This window comes from Homo sapiens, chromosome 4 (assembly GCF_000001405.40).
Source record: "Homo sapiens chromosome 4, GRCh38.p14 Primary Assembly".
Lineage (NCBI taxonomy): Eukaryota > Metazoa > Chordata > Mammalia > Primates > Hominidae > Homo > Homo sapiens.
Window position 1 is genome coordinate 69,619,446 of NC_000004.12, and position 18,993 is coordinate 69,638,438.

The window sequence follows — 18,993 nt, forward strand, 5'->3', positions numbered from 1 at the left end:
TAAAGCCAATATACAAAAGTAAATTGCAGTCTTACATACCCCATACAAACAAAAGTGAAATTTTAAAATAACGTTAAAGAAGACTCTAAAAATAATGATATACCCAGAAATAAATCTAACATAAAAGGAATATAATCTTTTTCAGGTGAATTATTCCATTTGTGTGAAACTTAAACACATTCTAAAACCTGTGATAAAAAATAATGAACTCAGAATCATCCTGTTACCAAAATCTGGCAGAAACACAACAAAAAATAAAATAAAATTCAGGCCAACAACCTTGATGAATATTGATGCAAAAATCCTCAACAAAATACTTTCAAACCAAATGCAGCAGCATATCTAAAAGCTAATCCATGACAATCAAATAGGCTTTATCTGCAGAAGGCAAGATTGGTTCAACATACACAAATCAATACATGTGGTTCATCATGTAAACAGAAACACAAAAACCACAAGATTACCTCAATAGGCACACAAAAGGCTTTTGATACCTTTATGCAAAAACTCAATAAACTAAGCATTGAAGAAACATACCTCAAAATAATAAGAGACATATATGACAAACCCCCAGCCAACACCATACTGAATGGGGAAAAGCTGTAAGCATTTTCCTTATAAACTGGCAAAGACAAGTATGCCCTCTCTCACTACTCCTATTCAACATAGTACTGGAAGTCCTTCCAGAGCAATCAGGCAAGAGAAAGAAATAAAAGGCATCCAAATAGGAAGAGAGAAAGTCAAACTTTCCTGGTTCACACACAACATGATTCTATATGTAGAAAACCCCATAGTCTCAGCCCCAAAGCTGCCTGCACTAATAAAAAACTACAGTAAAGTTTCAGGAAAAAAAATCTATCTACAAAAATCACTGCCATTCCTATACACCAACAGCGAAGCAGAGAACCAAATCAGGAAGGCAATCCCATTCACAATTGCTAAAAAAGAATAAAATGCCTAGGAATACAGCTAACCAGGGAGGTGAAAGATCTCTACAATGAAAATTACAAAACACTGCTCAAAGAAATCAGAGATGACACAAACAAATGAAAAAACATTTCATGCTCATAGATAGGAATAATCGATATCATTAAAATGGCCATATAGTTCAAAGCAATTTAGAGATTCAAGGCTATTCATATTAAACTATTAATACCATTCTTCACAGAATTAGAAATAAAAAACTATTTTAAAATATATATATGGAACCAAAAAAAAAAAAGAGCCACAAAAGCCAAGGCAATGCTAAACAAAAAGAACGAAGATGGAGTCATCACACAATCCAACTTTAAACTATACTACAGGGCTACAGTAACCAAAACAGTATGGCACTGGTACAAAAACAGAAACATAGACAAAGGAAACAGAATAGAGAGCTCATAAATAAGGCTACACACCTAACAACCATCAGATCTTCTACAAAACTGACAAAACCGACAAAACCAAGCAATAAGAAAAGGATTCCCTATTCAATAAATGGTGCTGGCATAAATGGCTAGCCATATACAGAATACCAAAACTGGACCCCTTTCTTACACCATATACAAATATCAACTCAAGATGGATTAAAAACATAAATGTAAAACCCAAAACTATAGAAACCTAGAAGACAACTTAGTCAATACTATCCTGGACATAGAAAAAGGAAATATTTTATGACAAAGATGCCGAAAGCAATCACAACAAAAGCAAAATTTGACAAATCATATCTAATTAAACTTAAGAGCTTCTGCACAGCAAAATAAACTATCAACAGTAAACAGACAATCTACAGAATGAGAGAAAATATTTGCAAAGTATGCATCTGACAAAGATCTAATATCCAGTATTTACAGGGAATTTAAACAAACTTACAAGAAAGAAACAACCTCATTAAAAAGTGGGCAAAGGACATTAACAGACAGTTTGCAAAAGAAGACATACATGCAACCATCAAGTATATTAAAAAGCTAAAAGCTAAATACCACTGATTATTGGAGAAATGAAAATCAAAACCACAGTGAGATACCATTTTATGTCAGTCAGATTAGCTTTTATTAAAAAGTAAAAAAAATAACAGATGCTGGCGAGGTTGCAGAGAAAAGGAAACAGCTATAAATGGTTGGTAGAAGGGTAAATTAGTTCACCCATTGTGGAAAGCAGTGTGGTGATTCCTCAAAGCCTTAAAAACAGAACTACCATTAAACCCAGCAATCCCATTCCTGGGTATACACCGAAAGGAATATAAATCATTCTATCATAAAGACACATGCATGTGAATGTTCATTTCAGCATGATTCACAATAGCAAAAACATGAAGTCAACCTAAATGCCTATCAACGACAGATTGGATAAAGAATGTGTGGTATATATGCATCATAGAAAACTACACAGCCATAAAAAGGAAAGAGAACATGTTTTTTGCAGGAACATAGATGGAGCTGGGGGGAGGGTCATTATTCTTAGCAAACTAATGCAGACACAGAACACCAAATACCACATTCTCTCACTTACAAGTTAGAGCTAAATGATGAGAACTCATGGACACAAACAGGGGAACAAGAGACAGTAAGGCCTACTTGAGGGTGGATGGTGGAAGGAGGAAGAGGAAGAGAAAATATAACTATTGAGTACTAGGCTTAATACCTGGGTCATGGAATAGTCAGTACAACCAACCCCTGTGTACCACATTACCTGTGTAACAAACCTGCACATGTACTCCTGAACCAAAAGGTTTTTATTTTTTTAAATAAAAAATTTAACATATGAGCTTAAAATAGCCAAGAGAAATTGAAAGAAAAAAGTTATGAATACTTACCAAAACATATGTCAAAATACATAACAAAGTAATAATATAATGTATAACACCACAAAGATGGGAAATTGGCATACAAAAAGTTAGAGATCAAAACATATTTATAGCTAATATGCCAGTGTATTTCATACAACTGAGAAATGGGAAAAAATACGAATTATTTAATTAATTATCTGAAACAATTCTTAACTACATAGAAAGTAAAAGAGAACTGTATTTTTATGTGTAAGAAAACCAATTACAAACTCACTAAATAAATAGATTTGAAAACAATTGTTTTTATGTGTTATCTATATAATAGACTCAGGGAATCTATATAATGGATACAATATACTGAATGAATAATATATTATATCTTAATATTATATATGCATTGGATATTGTACTGCCAGTTCTTGGTCTCGAGGCTCAAAGGTGAGGGGGGCATGCATTGAGGATTTCATGTGTTATGAACTTCAATTCTATACTTGATGTCTAGGCAATGTGATGCTGCTATTGTCTAGCAAAGAGAAGGAAATCTTCACATGACCCATAGGGTCAACAGGAATATAGACGTTCAAGGTCCTCAAACACATTCATCCAGCGGTCCACATCCTATGTCTTGGCTTCGGTGTAGGACATTTCCTGACAAAAATTGCTAAAAATTCAGCCTCATTTATAATTCTGCTAAGCCAACAATTAGGTCTTGGCTATAATTTTCAACACAGTCCACCCACTTGCTATGGGTCATAAAGGTCTCTTTAAAAATTGTCATGGGTGTGTTCTACTTTATATTGTGTCCTGAGTTATACATGTCTGAATTAATTGAAATTTTCTACCTTCTGTTACTGAAGGCAATAAACACAGATAACAGCTACATAATTCTTACAATTATTATTGCTTCCACACTTCTCAATTGTTGATTTGGCACAAGCTAGTCCATCCTCTTCCATCTGTTCCTCATGACAATTCATCAAAAATGAAAATCGTAGTAATTGTGATTGTACTGCATGCCAAGTGATACCACTACCCCATTTCTACCAGTAATGTAGTCTCTACAGCTATCTAGCCTAGGATTACTACAATGTAACACTCTGTTTTGAGTTCCCCAAGAAACAGACGCTGAGAAAAGAATTTGAATACAAGTAATTTTTGTGAGAATCATCTCGAAGTAACACCACAAAGGCAGTGGATAAAATGGGATAGGGAAAAGACAAAAGCCAATATGAATGCATTACCAAGTCACTTGCCACTGCAGGAAACTGTGCATACATGTAAAAAAATAGCATAATATTTAACAGAATAGTTTATATAAATATTTTTAAAATATAAAATAATATTTTACATTATTTAATGATAGATACAAAATGTACAAAGACATACAACAGATGCAAAGAATTGAAGTCACAGTTTTAAAGAGCAAATGAGCAGCCAAGGTATAAAAAATTCTATAGTAATATTTAATTTCTTCAGATGGCTATCAAATATATTAGGATTCATCTCAAGTTAGTGTAAAATTATATGTAATACATTATAAAAATAATTTAAATAAAACCTTTGAGATAAAGGTAGAAAATTGAGCTTAATGCTTTTTAAAACAGATTCATTTGAAAGTAAATTAAATAAAAATAAAGACTTGAGCAAAAGCATTTCAGAAAATACAAACAAGAAAGATAAAGATTTTACAAAATTAATGCTGGCCAGAATGCCCAGGACAAGCACCTTAAAAAAGCATCTTATAGATTGTGAAATGTAACAAAAACATGTAATTTTCACAAATTATTTTTCCATGAAAAATATGAACTCTGTTATTTCCTCATTTATTTTCTGTGTGCTTGTATTATCAATTACTGAGAGAGGACCATCATAATCTCCAAGTATAAATGGGAATCTGTCTATTTCTCCTTTAATTTTCATCAATTTACTTTCTTTACGTTGATCCTCTTAGGTACACACATATTTGTGATTATTATGTCTTCTTGATGAATTTAACACCTTTACTTATAAAATGACCTTTATTCTCATAATAATCATTTCTCTGAAGGTCTAATTTATCTAATATTAATGCAGCCACTCCACCTTTACTTTACTGTTAGTATCATAGGTATATTCTCATTTTATTTTTCACCTTTTTCTTTATGAGTTTCTTAAGATAGCACAGAGTTTAGTCTTGCTTTTTTTAAAAAAATCCAATTTGACAATGTCTAACTATTGGTGAGGGTTGTGAGAACTTTACATTTAATGTGATTATCTACATGTTTGAGTTGGGATTTATCATTTTGCTACTTTTTTTAAGTTACCTCATCTCTTTTTTGTTCTTTTTTTCTTTCCTATCTTCATGTTTATTAGTTGAACACATTTTATGATCCTAGTTGATTTTTTTTAGCTTATTAAATATTCTTTTTTTGCTCTACCTTTGTTGTGGTTGTGTGTAAAATTTGCAATTAGTATCATTTTTAGCATAACAACTTTACGACAGTATACTTCCTGTATCTCTTCCCAGATTTTGTGTTATTGTTGCCATACAGTTTACTTCTATGTATTACAACTTCACAATACAATAAATATCTGTAGTTATCATTTTGGTTTTAAGCAGTCATTTAACCTTTAGTAATATTAAATAACATTTTTTAAGTCTTTTTTATTCATTGACTTATTTACAATTTTTGTCTCTCCATTCGTCTAGATCGAAATTTTTACTAGAGATCATTTTTCTTCTGCCTTCAACATTTCTTCAAGAAGTGGTGGTCTATAGAAGATTAATTTTCTTGGTTCTTGTAGCAACAAAAAAAATCAGCCTTTATTTTTAAAATTAAATTGGCTGGGTATTAAATTTGCTGGGAATATATGTATTAATTATGATAATTTTAATTTATTTTAGTACTTTTTAGGTGTAATTGCTGTTTTGTAGCTTGCATTGCTTTCAATGAGAAGTCTGTTTTCATTCTTTTTTTTTCTTTGCTAGATGAAGTATTTTTTAATTTTCCTTCCATTTTTCAGATTTTCTTTTTATTACTCTTCAATATATTGATTATGATGTGATAGAGGCATTTTATTTTTCTTTTTACTTGGTTAATTGAACTTCTTGGATCTATTTGTATATGGAATTCACCAAATTTGAAAAATTTGGGGCCATTATTTATTTTAATATTTTTTTCTGCTGATGCTCCTTCCTTTAGGATATTGAAATAGTATATGTTAGGATGTTTTGTTTATTTTGTGGGGAAGGGAGAAGTGATTATTTCTCTTTATTTTTCATTTTGTATAGTTTCTATTACTATATCTTTAAATTCTTTTTTTCTATGCTGTGTCCAATCTATTAATACTATCCAATGTATTTTTAATTTTAGATATTGTGTGTTTCATCTCTGGTAGTTTAATGTGGGCTTGTTTATAGAAATTTTATTTTTCTCATTATATGCTTACTTTTATGTTCTTTTGGCCATACCCTATTTTTGTTTTTAGGTCTACACTATAGCACTTATGTAAATTTAAAATTTACATACAGAAATACAGAGCAACTGCTAAAAAGTCTAAAGATGTATCTTTTCAAAAGCCCCAGGCAGGAAGACTTAAAAAATCAATAAACAAATATTAAAATTAATTAGTCTTGTAAGTTGTCCAACATAATATCAAATTACAAAATTCAATAGCATTCTTTAACCCAGATACAAGTATAAAATGTAACAAAATAAGATGTTTAGAATTGCAACACAAACTATCATCGAAGAGTTATCTTAAAGATACTCAATAACCACAAGCTATTTATAATAGCTGTTTTAGAGTACTTGTCTACTAATTCTATCATGTATGTCATGACTGTGAACTTGTCTGTTTAATAATATGCTATTTGTTGCTCTCAGTCATATATTTATGCTTTGTTAACTACTTCATAACTTTTTTTTCTGATTTTACCTTGTTGGATACTGGGCTATTTTTTTTTAATTCTGTTAAATATTTGGACGCTTTGATCTGGTAGAGAGATATTTGTAATTTCATCCATTAGAAGCTTGCGTTTAAGTTTATTAGATCACATTCTAACATTTTATTTCGGAGTAAATTTTATTCCACCAAAGAGGCCATACACATCTAAAGACTCTATTTGGATGATGTTTGGAGACCTTTAACCATGGCAAAAAAAAAACTATATACATATGTATGATTTTTATATACGTATGTATACATGAAGTAACTATTATTGGACCACCTACTATTTCTAGTTGTTTTATGACCTGTTTCAGTATTTTCCTTACATTCGTGTGCAGATCAGTATTCCAAAAAACAAAACAGACTTGAGGATATTTATTGGGTATTATGCTCACTACTGGGTGATGGGATTATTCATCCATCAAGCCTTAGTGACACGCAGTATACTCAGATAACAAATTTGCACATATACCCTTGGAAACTAAAATGAAAGCAGAAGATAAAAAATAAAATACAATGTTACTACTAAAGAAAGCTGGTCATTTAAAAAATTTTCATTATTCATTTTATATTCATTAATTGGAATTAAGAGATTGCTTGTTCATTGAACTGTTTATACAGTATAAACTAAAATATTAATGAATTTTATTTTATGTGTTCTATTCATTCATACTAATTATTTATTTTGCTTCTCAAATTGTCCCAGATTTTGGAACCTTCTTCACAGTAGTTCCTGTATTCTTTTGAAATGGCTCCATCATTTCTGAGCACTTTTCACTTTTTGGTATTACTAGATGGTTTAGACTCGACTTCTGTTTTCGCTGCCTCAAACTTAAAATTAAACACTTCTCCAGTGAACGGTATTTTATTTTATTAGATAATGGCATATAAAACTCAAGATGTATATTATAGGTATATTCATTGTTACTGGAGTTTCATGTGTTTTCAATGGACAAAGAGAGAAAATATATTTGCACATACTGACACACACATAAACATTTTCTATTATCTATTTCTAAATAATTTTTAACAGTAAAAATCCTTTGCCACAATAACACAATGTTTACCTATTTGATAAGTCTTAATAAATATGTGAAATTTGTTTTGGAATTACTCAGAGATTTATAAAAAAAATCAAATCCACTGCTTATGGAAAAATATTTGTCTTATAAATGAGTCTCTTAACAGCATTAAAACAGTACTACTAGACTCATATCACATACTACATTACTACATAATAGATTCATATGATTTTATGCATAGATTATAACAAAATTCCAAATAAGAAATATTTTTTGTTCCATAGGCAGACAGGCAAGCAGGCAGGCAGGCAGGCAGGCAGGCATGCAGGAAGGAAGGAAGGAAAAGAAAGAAAGAAGAAAGAAAGAAAGAGAGAGAGAGAAAGAGAGAGAGAGAGAGAGAAAGAAAGAGAGAAAGAAAAAAAGAAGAAAGAAAAGAAAGAAAGAAAGAGAAGAAAGAAAAAAGAAAATCTCCTAAGGCCAATTCAAACTGTTCAGAAAAGGACTGAAGAACAAATATATTTAAGGTTCATAAACACTCATGAATACAAAGGCAAGTGTCCCTGTATCAAATTATGAGCAAACTGGAATTAATGATGAACAAGAAAATATAAAATATTAATATCACATTGAAATTAACTCAAGATGGAAGGAGGGATAAATAGAAAATTTATAAATGTCATAGACAATATTACAGGTTAAAAGAGAATGGAGATAAAAAATACTAAAATATTATTAATTTTTGCATACTGACCCTTTATCATATATATGTCTTACGAATATTCACTTCCATTCCACAGATTGCCTTTTAAGTTTGTTGATTGTCTCTTTTGCTGGCCAGAAGCTATTTTAGGTTGATATAATCTCACTTGTCTGTTTTTGCTTTTGGTGTTATATCCAAGAAATTATTGCCAAGGTCAATGTCAAGAAGCATTTCCCTATGCTTTCTTCCAGGGTTTTTGTGGTTTTAGGTCTTAGGTTGAATATTTAATTTGTCTCAGGGCATCAAAATGTCCATGTTACCCAAAACAATCCAGATTCAATGAATCCATATTAAAATCCCACTGGCATTTTTTTAAAGAAATAGAAAAAACAAAACCAAAATTTATATGGAGCCACAAAAAAACAAATATTCAAAGCAACTTTGTGCAAGAAGAGAAAAGCTGCAGACATCACACTCCCTAGTTTCAAAATACACTACAAAGTGACAAGAATCCAAACAGTATTAAAGCACACGTATAGACCAAGGGAACAAAATGGAGAGTCTAGAAAGAAACCTACCCATATATGGTCAGCTGGTCTTTCAACAAGATATCAAGAATATACGATGAACAAAGAGTAGTCTCTTCAATAAATGATGCCAGAAACACTAAATATCCACAAGCAAAAGAAGGAAATTGGAGCCTTATCTGAAGCCATCACTCTTCAAATTTGATGAAAAAAATTCTTAAAACTTAGAAAACAGAACTTTTTTGAATTAATACAATGGTTATATATTTAACATAAGCTTAAATGGGAGAAAAAAATAAAAGCATTTTCTTTAAAAGCAAATATATGAATGATCTAGAATGCCTACTTCTACTTAATACTAAATGTAAAGTTTCAGCTTACAAAATAAAATACGTGAAATGCCTAAAAACTGAAAAAAAGAAAAAAGACCGCCACAACTTTTACATACTATTATGGTCTATATTGAAATTCAAAGGAATCTACAGCCACTATTAAGTTATAGTCTACACTGAGAGAGATAATCTTTCAATTTCCCTCAGCTATTAGTCTCAAAGGGGATTCATTGTTGAACCCAAATTGATACCAAAGAGAAAGGGAGCCAGGTGATATCAGGTGATACATGGTTATACTCTTCTCCTGAACTATGTTAAAGCTACCTTTGTCATTTCCCCAGTACCACAAGCCATAGCTTTTTTCAAACATTGCTATTCCCTCTCCTTTTAACCACCTTCACTTGAATTTTGCAGATTCAGTGATATTCACACATGCTACTCTGAGCTACTACAAATGATGGGAATATTAATACTCCTCCAGGTAGAAAGGGAGCCAGGTAATACAGTCAATAAAAGTAGCTTCCTAGCACTATGAATAGCGTTCATTCAGGAGGTGTACTGCAAAGTGTTTACTTTGCAGGTCTGGATTTCTCAACTTGTACATTCCCAAAAAAGACTCATGTTCTTATATTCAAGAGGGGCTCATACCTGGCTCCTAAGAGCTGAGTTCCAATCTTTTGGAATACAGTGCCTAATAAGAGTGTTTTTGTATATCTGAGGTCTTGGTCCACATTAGTTTGACTAGATAGTTTATGTTATCAATGTGATTTACCATGATCACCAGTTTTTGCTCTGAGGGTCTGGAGTCTGGGTAGCTGAGGTTAGTCAAACAGGCTCTAGACATCTATGTGATTGAGCCTTAGCAATAACCCAAGACATCAAGGTTCAGGTGAGTTAGTTGATAAAACTGCATCCCGTCACCACATATCATTTCTAGGAATATTAAATAAATCCTGTACAACTCTACTGGAAGAGGACCCCTGCAAGCTTGCAACTGATCTTTTCTGGGCTACCCTTCATAGGTCTTTTCTCTCTCCTTATTTTAATCTGTAATCTGTATTATTTTGTTATAATGAACCATAACCATGAGCCTAGCAGCTTCTGAGTCCTGTGAGTCTTTCTAGTGAATCATCGAGTCTCAGAGTAGATCCATAAGAATAATCAGTAAGAAGTTATGAATATTTTGGTAAAACAAAATGTATATTATCATTGCAATAGAAATTTCTTTGTAAAATATTTTTTCCTTAATCTTGAATGTACAAGTATACTTAAAATTCCAAAATACCACATGAAAAATAATTTACTGGAATTTATTTCTCATATTTAAACGTGACTTTAAATTACACCATTATAGTGTAATTAAGATTATATTAAAAGATTATATTAAAATATATAACTAAAATACAGCCATATGGATCAGGGCTCTAAGTTTCCATTCTTGTAGACATTTGTCTTTCTCTTTGATTTAATGAGGATATACCAATAGTAATAGCTCCATCTGCAGTTGGCTACGATTCATTTTTTTCTCCTGCAATTTTTGACGTAGTTGGAGTGAGGCCATATGCAACAGGGTCTTTAAGCCATTTCCTTCTTCCCAGATGTGCCATGCAGCGTCTTTACTCTTTATAACTCCCCATTCCCACCTCTTCCCGGTTACACTCTTATCCTGACTATGTTAAAGCTACCTTTGTCATTTCCCCAGCACCACAAGCCATAGTTTTTATCAACCATCACTATTCCCTCTCCTTTTAACCACCTTCATTTGAATTTTGCAGATTCAATGATATTTACACATTGTACTCTAAGCTACTACAAATCACTGTGAATATCAATACTCCTCCAAGTAGAAAAGGGTCATAAACAGGGAATTATAAAATAGGCCTCTAAGAAAACCCCAGAGGAATGCAAGTTAAAATGAGACATGTACTTTCAACAAACTGGTCACAAAATAAAAACCATTTATTATAGCCAAGATGCCAAGGATGTATAAAAATTATATATGTTTTATTATGTTAGCGAACTGGTATACAGACCCTAAAGGTGAAACCGTGAATGCAATTCTACCGCTGGAGGAATTCCTGATTTACCAAGTCTCCAGCACACCCACATACACACAACACACAAATATACTATATATCAATTATACATATATTATATATATACATACATGTAAGAATTACACTGTGGTGTGTGCTAAAGAATACACGACTAAGTGGCAGAGTTAACAATACTACTTAAATGTTATTAATAACTTGAATGTGATCTCTGTGATAGGATGTCCCAGCTCTCTAGATATGAAATCATCGACATAAGCTTTCTATTGTTCTCTTTCTTAAACTATAACACTACTTTCTCATTTGAAAAAGAGAATCAGTGATAGCTATCTCAATATCAAATGCTTTATTTTTGACTTCCTATTAACGTCTTTTCTTTAGAAAAGCAGAGAGCTAGGGCTTGAGTGAATCCTAGAATCACAAAGATACCTATACTGTTTTAGTGAAATTAGTTAAGTGGGCTTTGGAGGTAAATAGATCTATCTTCCCATATTTTTTCAAAATGATGTTTGTCAAAGAGAGAGTTACTTAATTTTTATGTTTTTATTTTATCATAAAATTAAAATGATAATATTTTGTAAATATATTGTGAAAATTAGTAATAATAATCCAAATGTTTAGAAAAATGCTTCAGTGGAGAGTTACATCATCATAAATTTTAAAACTAAACTGAAGATTATAGCACAAGAAAGTAGGCTGTCAACAGATTTACTGCCTAACCACCAATAATGAGAAATAGTTTAGTTATCTTTCCAAGGTATATAACAGAATATACAAAAATATAACAGAATGAAGAATACTATTTGAGATGAGAAGCCATAACTTCAATGTAGTCAGATATTTGTGTATCTAAACCTGCCAAGCAAGGAGAGGAGTGTGTACATGGGCATTTCTGGGTGTGTCCACTAATTATCCCAGCTGACAACCTGAAAAAGAGAACAACTGTAGCCACTACATCAGGGTATTTTGGGAATTTGAAGACTACGGACATATTACTAGGCTCCACTGATGCTGGGATACCAACTTTAATGAAATCACAATTGAGCTAAAAACAAAGATTGGTTGAATTCAATTTCTATTCTAACACAAGGCTACCACTTCACACTACTTTTAGTTGGCACTTTTGTCAAGAAAAGACAGAAAATATCTAGAAACATGGATTCCAAAATAATATCATTAAAATGACAATATAAGCACCACAGTTTGTATAAATCCAATAAATACCACATTATAGTTATTAGTTTTTCTTTATTCCTAAAATTGTTCACTTATGTGATGTATATTAACTTTATTTTTGAAAGAGATTCACGAAAATGAAAGATCTATTCCTATGTGTTTATTTTCAATAACAAAATTGTCTATGAATTCAAAGATAATTACATTCACAGCAATTTTTAAAAGGTTCAAGGTGTTTTGATATAAATATAACAGAAATTACAAAATAATTTGATTTGCTACCATGAAGGAAGAGGGAAGGCATAACATGTAATGTTACAAAGCTCAAAAGGACTAGGTTTTGGGGTTAATAAGGGGTCTGCATTAAAGATAAGGTAAATTTTTTTTCCACAAGTAGGGAAATTCTTTTTTAGTTTACACACAGCACCTTTCAGAATTGAAGTTGAGTTGCTGATGATGCCAGTACACCCACGTTATGATTTCTTTGAAACATCCAATGGCTTCATCATTTAGGCCAAAAGAGCATAATCTCACGGAGGATAATTTCTATTTATGACCAACTAAAAACAGGAGGGTGGCAAACTTCTTATGCACGACAATAGTAAATATGGAAATCATCCTTAGTGAATATATTTTTATAAAGAAGTAACTGGCCAGGCACAATGACTCAGGCCTGTAATCCCAGCACTTTGGGAGGCAGAGGCGGGCAGATCACAAAGTCAAGAGTTTGAGACCTGCCTGGCCAACAGAATGAAACCCTGTCTCTATTAAAAATACAAAAATTAGCCAGACATGGTGAAGGGCTCCTGTAATCCCAGCTACTCTGGACGCAGAGGCAGGAAAATCGCTTGAACCCAGGAGGCGGGGGTTGCAGTGAGCCGAGATTGCGCCATTGCAATCCAGCCTGAGCGACAGTGCAAGACTCGGTCAAAAAAAAAAAAAAAAGTAACTACATTTAAGACAACTTTTATTTTTAATCAAGGAATACGTTATGCACTAGAGATTCTTGATGGCTTACAAACCGGACGTGGGTGACAATTTAATCATGATGTTAAAGTTGAAATGATAAGAGGATGTAGTAAAAAGTCCACCAAAGAAAACTAAAAGTGAGTAAGAATGAAGAATGAGAAGTAAGAGGTAGGAGTTACTCAGCCTAAGTATCTGAAAAGGTCTGGGTAGTGGCCTTGTTAGAGAGGAATCCCAGAGAATGATTGATGTGTTAGTTACACACATACACATTTGATGAAAGAAATCATACTGTACACTTTATGCACTTTTTATCACATAAAAATTATACCTTAATAAAAACAATAGAGATCAACAGAATGGTTACAATGAAAATAAATACCAAAAAGAACAATACCAAGTGTTGATGACAATGGAGAAGAGCTGGAACCCTAGTATATGGCTAGTAGGTTTACTAGTTTGCACAACCTTTTGGGAAACTAAATTTTAATGATATCTATGACCTGTCAATTCCACTCTCACGAATATATCCAACAGTATGGCATACATGTATTCACCAATATTAGGTACAAGAATGTTCAAAGCAGTGTTCATCATAAGGTGGCAAAACCAAAATAGCCTAAATTTCCATCAGCAGTAGAATGGATAAATAAAATGTGATACATTAATTCAATAGACTCCATATAGCTATAAGAATGAGCACAGCATATCTACATGCAACAACTTGTACGAATTTCAAAAACATAATATTAATCAAAATAAGCAAGATACAAAGGAGTACATAATGTGTGATTCAACTATATAACGTTTAAAGTCAAGGAAAATTGATCCATGGTTTCAGAAGCCAAGAAAGTGTTTACCATTAAATAGGAGTTGTGGGGACTGATAAGCGGATGAAAGAGGAGTTATGGATTGCATTCATGTTTTGTTTATTAATTTGAGTGCTGGTTGCAAGGGTGGGGTTACTTCGTGAAACTTCAATGAGCTATAAAGTTTAGGATTTATGTTTTGCAGAAAGAATATACAAAATTTTAAAAACCCGGCCGCGCGCGGTGGCTCACGCCTGTAATCTCAGCACTTTGGGAGGCCGAGGCGGGCGGATCAGGAGCTCAGGAGATCGAGACCATCCTGGCTAACATGGTGAAACCCCGTCTCTACTAAAAATACAAAAAATTAGCCGGGCTTGGTGACCGGCGCCTGTAGTCCCAGCTACTCCGGAGGCTGAGGCAGGAGAATGGCGTGAACCCGGGAGGCGGAGCTTGCAGTGAGCCGAGATCGCGCCACTGCACTCCAGCCTGAGCGACAGAGCGAGACTCCATCTCAAAAATCAAACAAAACAAAACAAAACAAAACAACAACAACAACAAAAACCCACAACACTGATCACAGGAAAGCTACATATAAGAAGGAATTGGAAGGCTTAGGTGACGAAAGATTAACAGAAACTCCAAGTTTTCCAGGGAAAGGGTGGGAAGCAGGGTATGAGAATTAGAGTGGGGATAGGAAACGGAGAGAAGCAATAAATACAACACTGGGCCCAGAAAAGAAACTATAGTTGAAATACAAATAATACATTATTGTGATTAATCTAGTTTAGTTGCAGACAAGTTGGATAGAGGGGGAAGGTTAAGAGGCTGTTTTTTTCTTAAGTTAATTGGGGTTTATTCCAAAAATAAAAAGTTGATTTAACAACTGATAATCACTTTATATATTTTACCATATTGGCGGAACAAAGAGAAGAATAATATAATAATTTGAATAGATGCAGAAAAACATTTGATAAAATTCATCATCCTTTTATGATGAAAATTTATTTGAATTAAAAAGAAAAAGGGAGATTCCTCAATCTAATAAGAGATATCTAAAATTAGCCTACAGCAAACATCACCCTTAATGGTAAACAATGCATGATTTTCCACTGACATCTAGAATGAGACAAAATGCCCATTACCCTCATTTTTATCTTATATTGTGCTGGAGTGTCTCATTAACTGTTAAGAGATTTGTTTTCTTCATGGGCTGGGATAAGGTAACATTAGTTCTAAGAATCCATCTAAAATTTATCAGCAGGAAATGCTTGAGGGGATGGATACCCCGTACTCCAGGATGTGCTTATTTTACATTGCATGTCTGTATCAAAACATCCTATCTACCCCCTAAATATATACTACTATGTACCCACAAGAAAGTTTAAAAATAAAAATAAAAATAAATTTAAAAAGAGGAGTAAGGATTAAAGTTCAGATTTAAATTAAATATTAAATGTCAAAAAATAAAAATGAATAAATAAAATATATCAGCAGGGAAAGAGGGCCCAACATGGTACTGACAGTTAAAACTAAATTTTACCAGCCAAGTGTCACATAGCTTATTACTGGGCTTTCTGCTCTCCCGATCTACAGTGCGCTGGGATGGATAGAGACAGACTGGAAACCCAAAAGACACATGCAAAATGGAGCCATCCAGTTTCCAGTGGCCTTACCTGTCTAACCATTTTCACTACAGTGTTCAAGGGCTTAACCTTTCTATTGCTGCAGCAAAGGCTAGTCTCAAATTCTACAGTGAGAACTATCTATTTGCTGTACAGCAGATCTCTTAGAAGTTGAGGAAGAAATAAAGTTCAGAGGCTGGGTGATGTGGCTCAAGCCTGTAATCCCAGCAATTTGTGAGGCCAAGGCGGGTGGATAACTTGAGGTCAGGAACTTGAGACCAGCCTCGCCAACATGGTGAAACCTCGTCTCTATTAAAAATACAAAAATTAGCCTGACCTGCTGGCAGCCTGTAATCCCAACTACAATGGAGGCTGAGGCGGGAGAATCGCTTGAACCCGGGAAGCAGAGGTTGCAGTGAGCCAAGATCCGCCACTGCACTCCAGCCTGGGCAACAGAGTAAGAGTCCACCTCACCAAAAAAAAAAAAAAAAAAAAAAGAGAGAGAGAGAGAGAAATAAGGTTCAGTTAAATTTGATGGTGCCATGCAGAACACTTGGCCTGACCAAAATTTATTAATAGATTCACTTCTGGATATGAGTAGCAGTGATTTTCATAATTCCTGATATCCCTGTTCCCTTAGCTATTAAAGGTATTTTTAAAATGTTAATTGTTTTACTCATTTCATCTGTAAGATTTAAGAGTTCCTCACTGATATAGAAAACAAGTTTTTTAACTGGTGCAATCAAATATGTCCTTGTACTTATTCTGATGTCCTTCAAGACATTTGGAGTTCTTCTTTGTCACAATTTAACATATCATTTCTCAAGTCTGTTTTTCCTACACAGAACTGAAGAACAACTATTGTAATGGAAACGCCACAAAAATTTGACATGTTGTTAGCTCTCCTGCGGTCAAACATAATTACGTAAAATTGTGTATCTGCCCTCTTTCAATATCAGTTTACAGTTAGCAGGTGTTCTTAATCCTTTTGTTTGTGATGGCAAACAAAATACAAAATGGGGTTTTACCAGTTCTTCACAGTATACCTTAATTTGAAATAAAATATTCAAGGCAGTTATTTGTTGTTCAAATTATGTTCAGTAACATGAGAAGCATAAAGGTTTTAAGTAAATAGGATATTTAATTTCTTAAATGATAGAATTTCTGAACCTAGATTATTATTTTGTAAAGGTGAGAAGTTGAGAACTTGCTGTTTTACAAAGCCTTTTTCACACTTATCTAATTTGTTATGGCTTCCTTTGAGAAGGAAGGTTTAGTACATACCAGAAACCATTTATTTTTTGTAGATTTTTTTGGCTACTTTCCATTTACAGAGCCCTGTGGTAATATAAAAAGGGTTTTATCATTGCAGATTTCCTAAGTAGTTTGGTGTAAATAACATTTAATATAAGTATAATTCTTTATAGTTGACATGGAATAGCCACATATGATATCATATGATCCTCCTAACGAATATAGTGAAATTTTTAACCCTATTTTAAAGAAGAGAAAGCACTGTGACTCTAAAGTTTCAGTTACTTGTCTGAGATCCCAGTTAGCCAGTGGAACCTGAAGCCACATGCATTTTTCAGGACCCTTCACCTTGTTACTTTTTGTATGTCTCTTATTTAAGGTGTATAGATTGTTAACTCATTCAGTAGCTGCAATAATCACTATCCAATACATAGCTGGGTAGTTACAATTATTGTAGAACACATTTCAAATGTCTTGAGACATACTCATGTGAATTATACCCAAATTAAAAGAAAAATGTGGTTTGAAGGCATATAAAATTTGAAAGCCAGAAAAAAAGAAACTACGGTTAAATTATGCCTTAAAGGAATTTTAAAAATACAGAACTATACTTGTAAAATTTTAGTTATAGCATCTTCAAAAATAAACTCAAATTTTATTTACCTTGCATATGTTTTATATGTGGTATATTTAATATCTTTCCTCTAGACAAATTCTAAGAAAAAGTTGAAAACTTTTTGATAAAAAAAATTATTGCAAGAGTTTTGCAATATCAAGAGAAGAAAAAAGATATATTCAAATACCCCTTGTGAAAGGTAAGAGTAAGATCAAGTTAGTTTATGAGTATTCAAGTTAGTTTATGTGTATGGCTTGCCACAGGTCTTTGTACTTGTTCTTACCTACTCCTAAAAGGCTTTTCCTCCAGGGATCTTATGGATTCTGACTTTCACTTCCCTCAGGTCTTTGGCCTGATGTCATTCTTTCATTTGATACTTTCTCTGCCTGCTCTATTTAAATATGCAAACTCACTCTAAGAACTATCTGTTCTTCTTACTTTATTATTACATAGCATATATCACAGGCTAAATTTATATATTTATTTTATTTATTGGTTGTCTCCTCTCATGAGAATGTAAGTTCCATGAGATAGAGAATTTGATCTGTTTTGCTTATTGTTGTATTCCTACCACTTAGACAAGTTGTAGGAACTAGGTTGGCATTCAACAAATACTTTTTTTTACACAAAGTAAACAAGAGAGAATGAAGGAAGAAAAGTAAAAAAGGAAGGAAGGCAAGAAGGAAGGCAGGCAGGCAGGCAGGCAGGAAGGAAGGAAGGAAAGAAGGAAGGAAAAAAAGGAAGGAAAAAAGGAAGGCAAGAAGGAAGGCAGGCAGGAAGGAAGGAAGGAAGGAAGGAAAGAAGGAAGGAAAAAAAGGAAGGAAAAAAGGAACGACCAAGGGGAGTGAGGGAGAAAGGAAAGAAAGTCAAAAGGTATGTAAAAAAGTCTTTCACATTACCTCTGTGAGAAAGTACCAGTGGTAGCATCATCTGTTAATTCCTGCTATTGATTAGTGTCCCGAGTACTAAGAGATCTGGAGGCAAAATCATCAAGAGAGAAGGAAATAAAAATATAAAGGGAGGCTCATAAAAGCCAGGAAAAATAAGTAATATAAACAACCAATCAGGACTGGCCTTGATGGTTAACATTATTGTGTTTGATTCTCATAAGGAATGTTTCATGCAAGGAAACATGAGGCTGGCCACAGGATAGAGAGAAATTAATTTGAGAGATGGTGTCCAACTACCCAGAGATGTGTAAAGATAGAGAGACAG

The 18,993-nt window shown here is 33.1% G+C and overlaps 2 protein-coding genes across 7 annotated transcripts in view; both read right to left on the reverse strand.

The window, feature by feature from the left end:
• UGT2A1 (UDP glucuronosyltransferase family 2 member A1 complex locus) overlaps nt 1–18,993 on the reverse strand; it is a 64,831-nt gene that overhangs the window by 31,029 nt on the left and 14,809 nt on the right. The window contains exon 3 of one of the 5 annotated variants that reach the window (NM_001252275.3): nt 16,246–16,377. The exons of the other annotated variants lie outside the window; for them this stretch is intronic. Coding sequence (NP_001239204.2) covers nt 16,246–16,377 — 132 coding nt within the window. The remainder of the gene's footprint in view (nt 1–16,245; nt 16,378–18,993) is intronic. 5 annotated transcript variants of the gene reach the window in all.
• The window catches only part of UGT2A2 (UDP glucuronosyltransferase family 2 member A2), a 51,226-nt gene that overhangs the window by 31,029 nt on the left and 1,204 nt on the right, over nt 1–18,993 (reverse strand). The window lies entirely within an intron of this gene.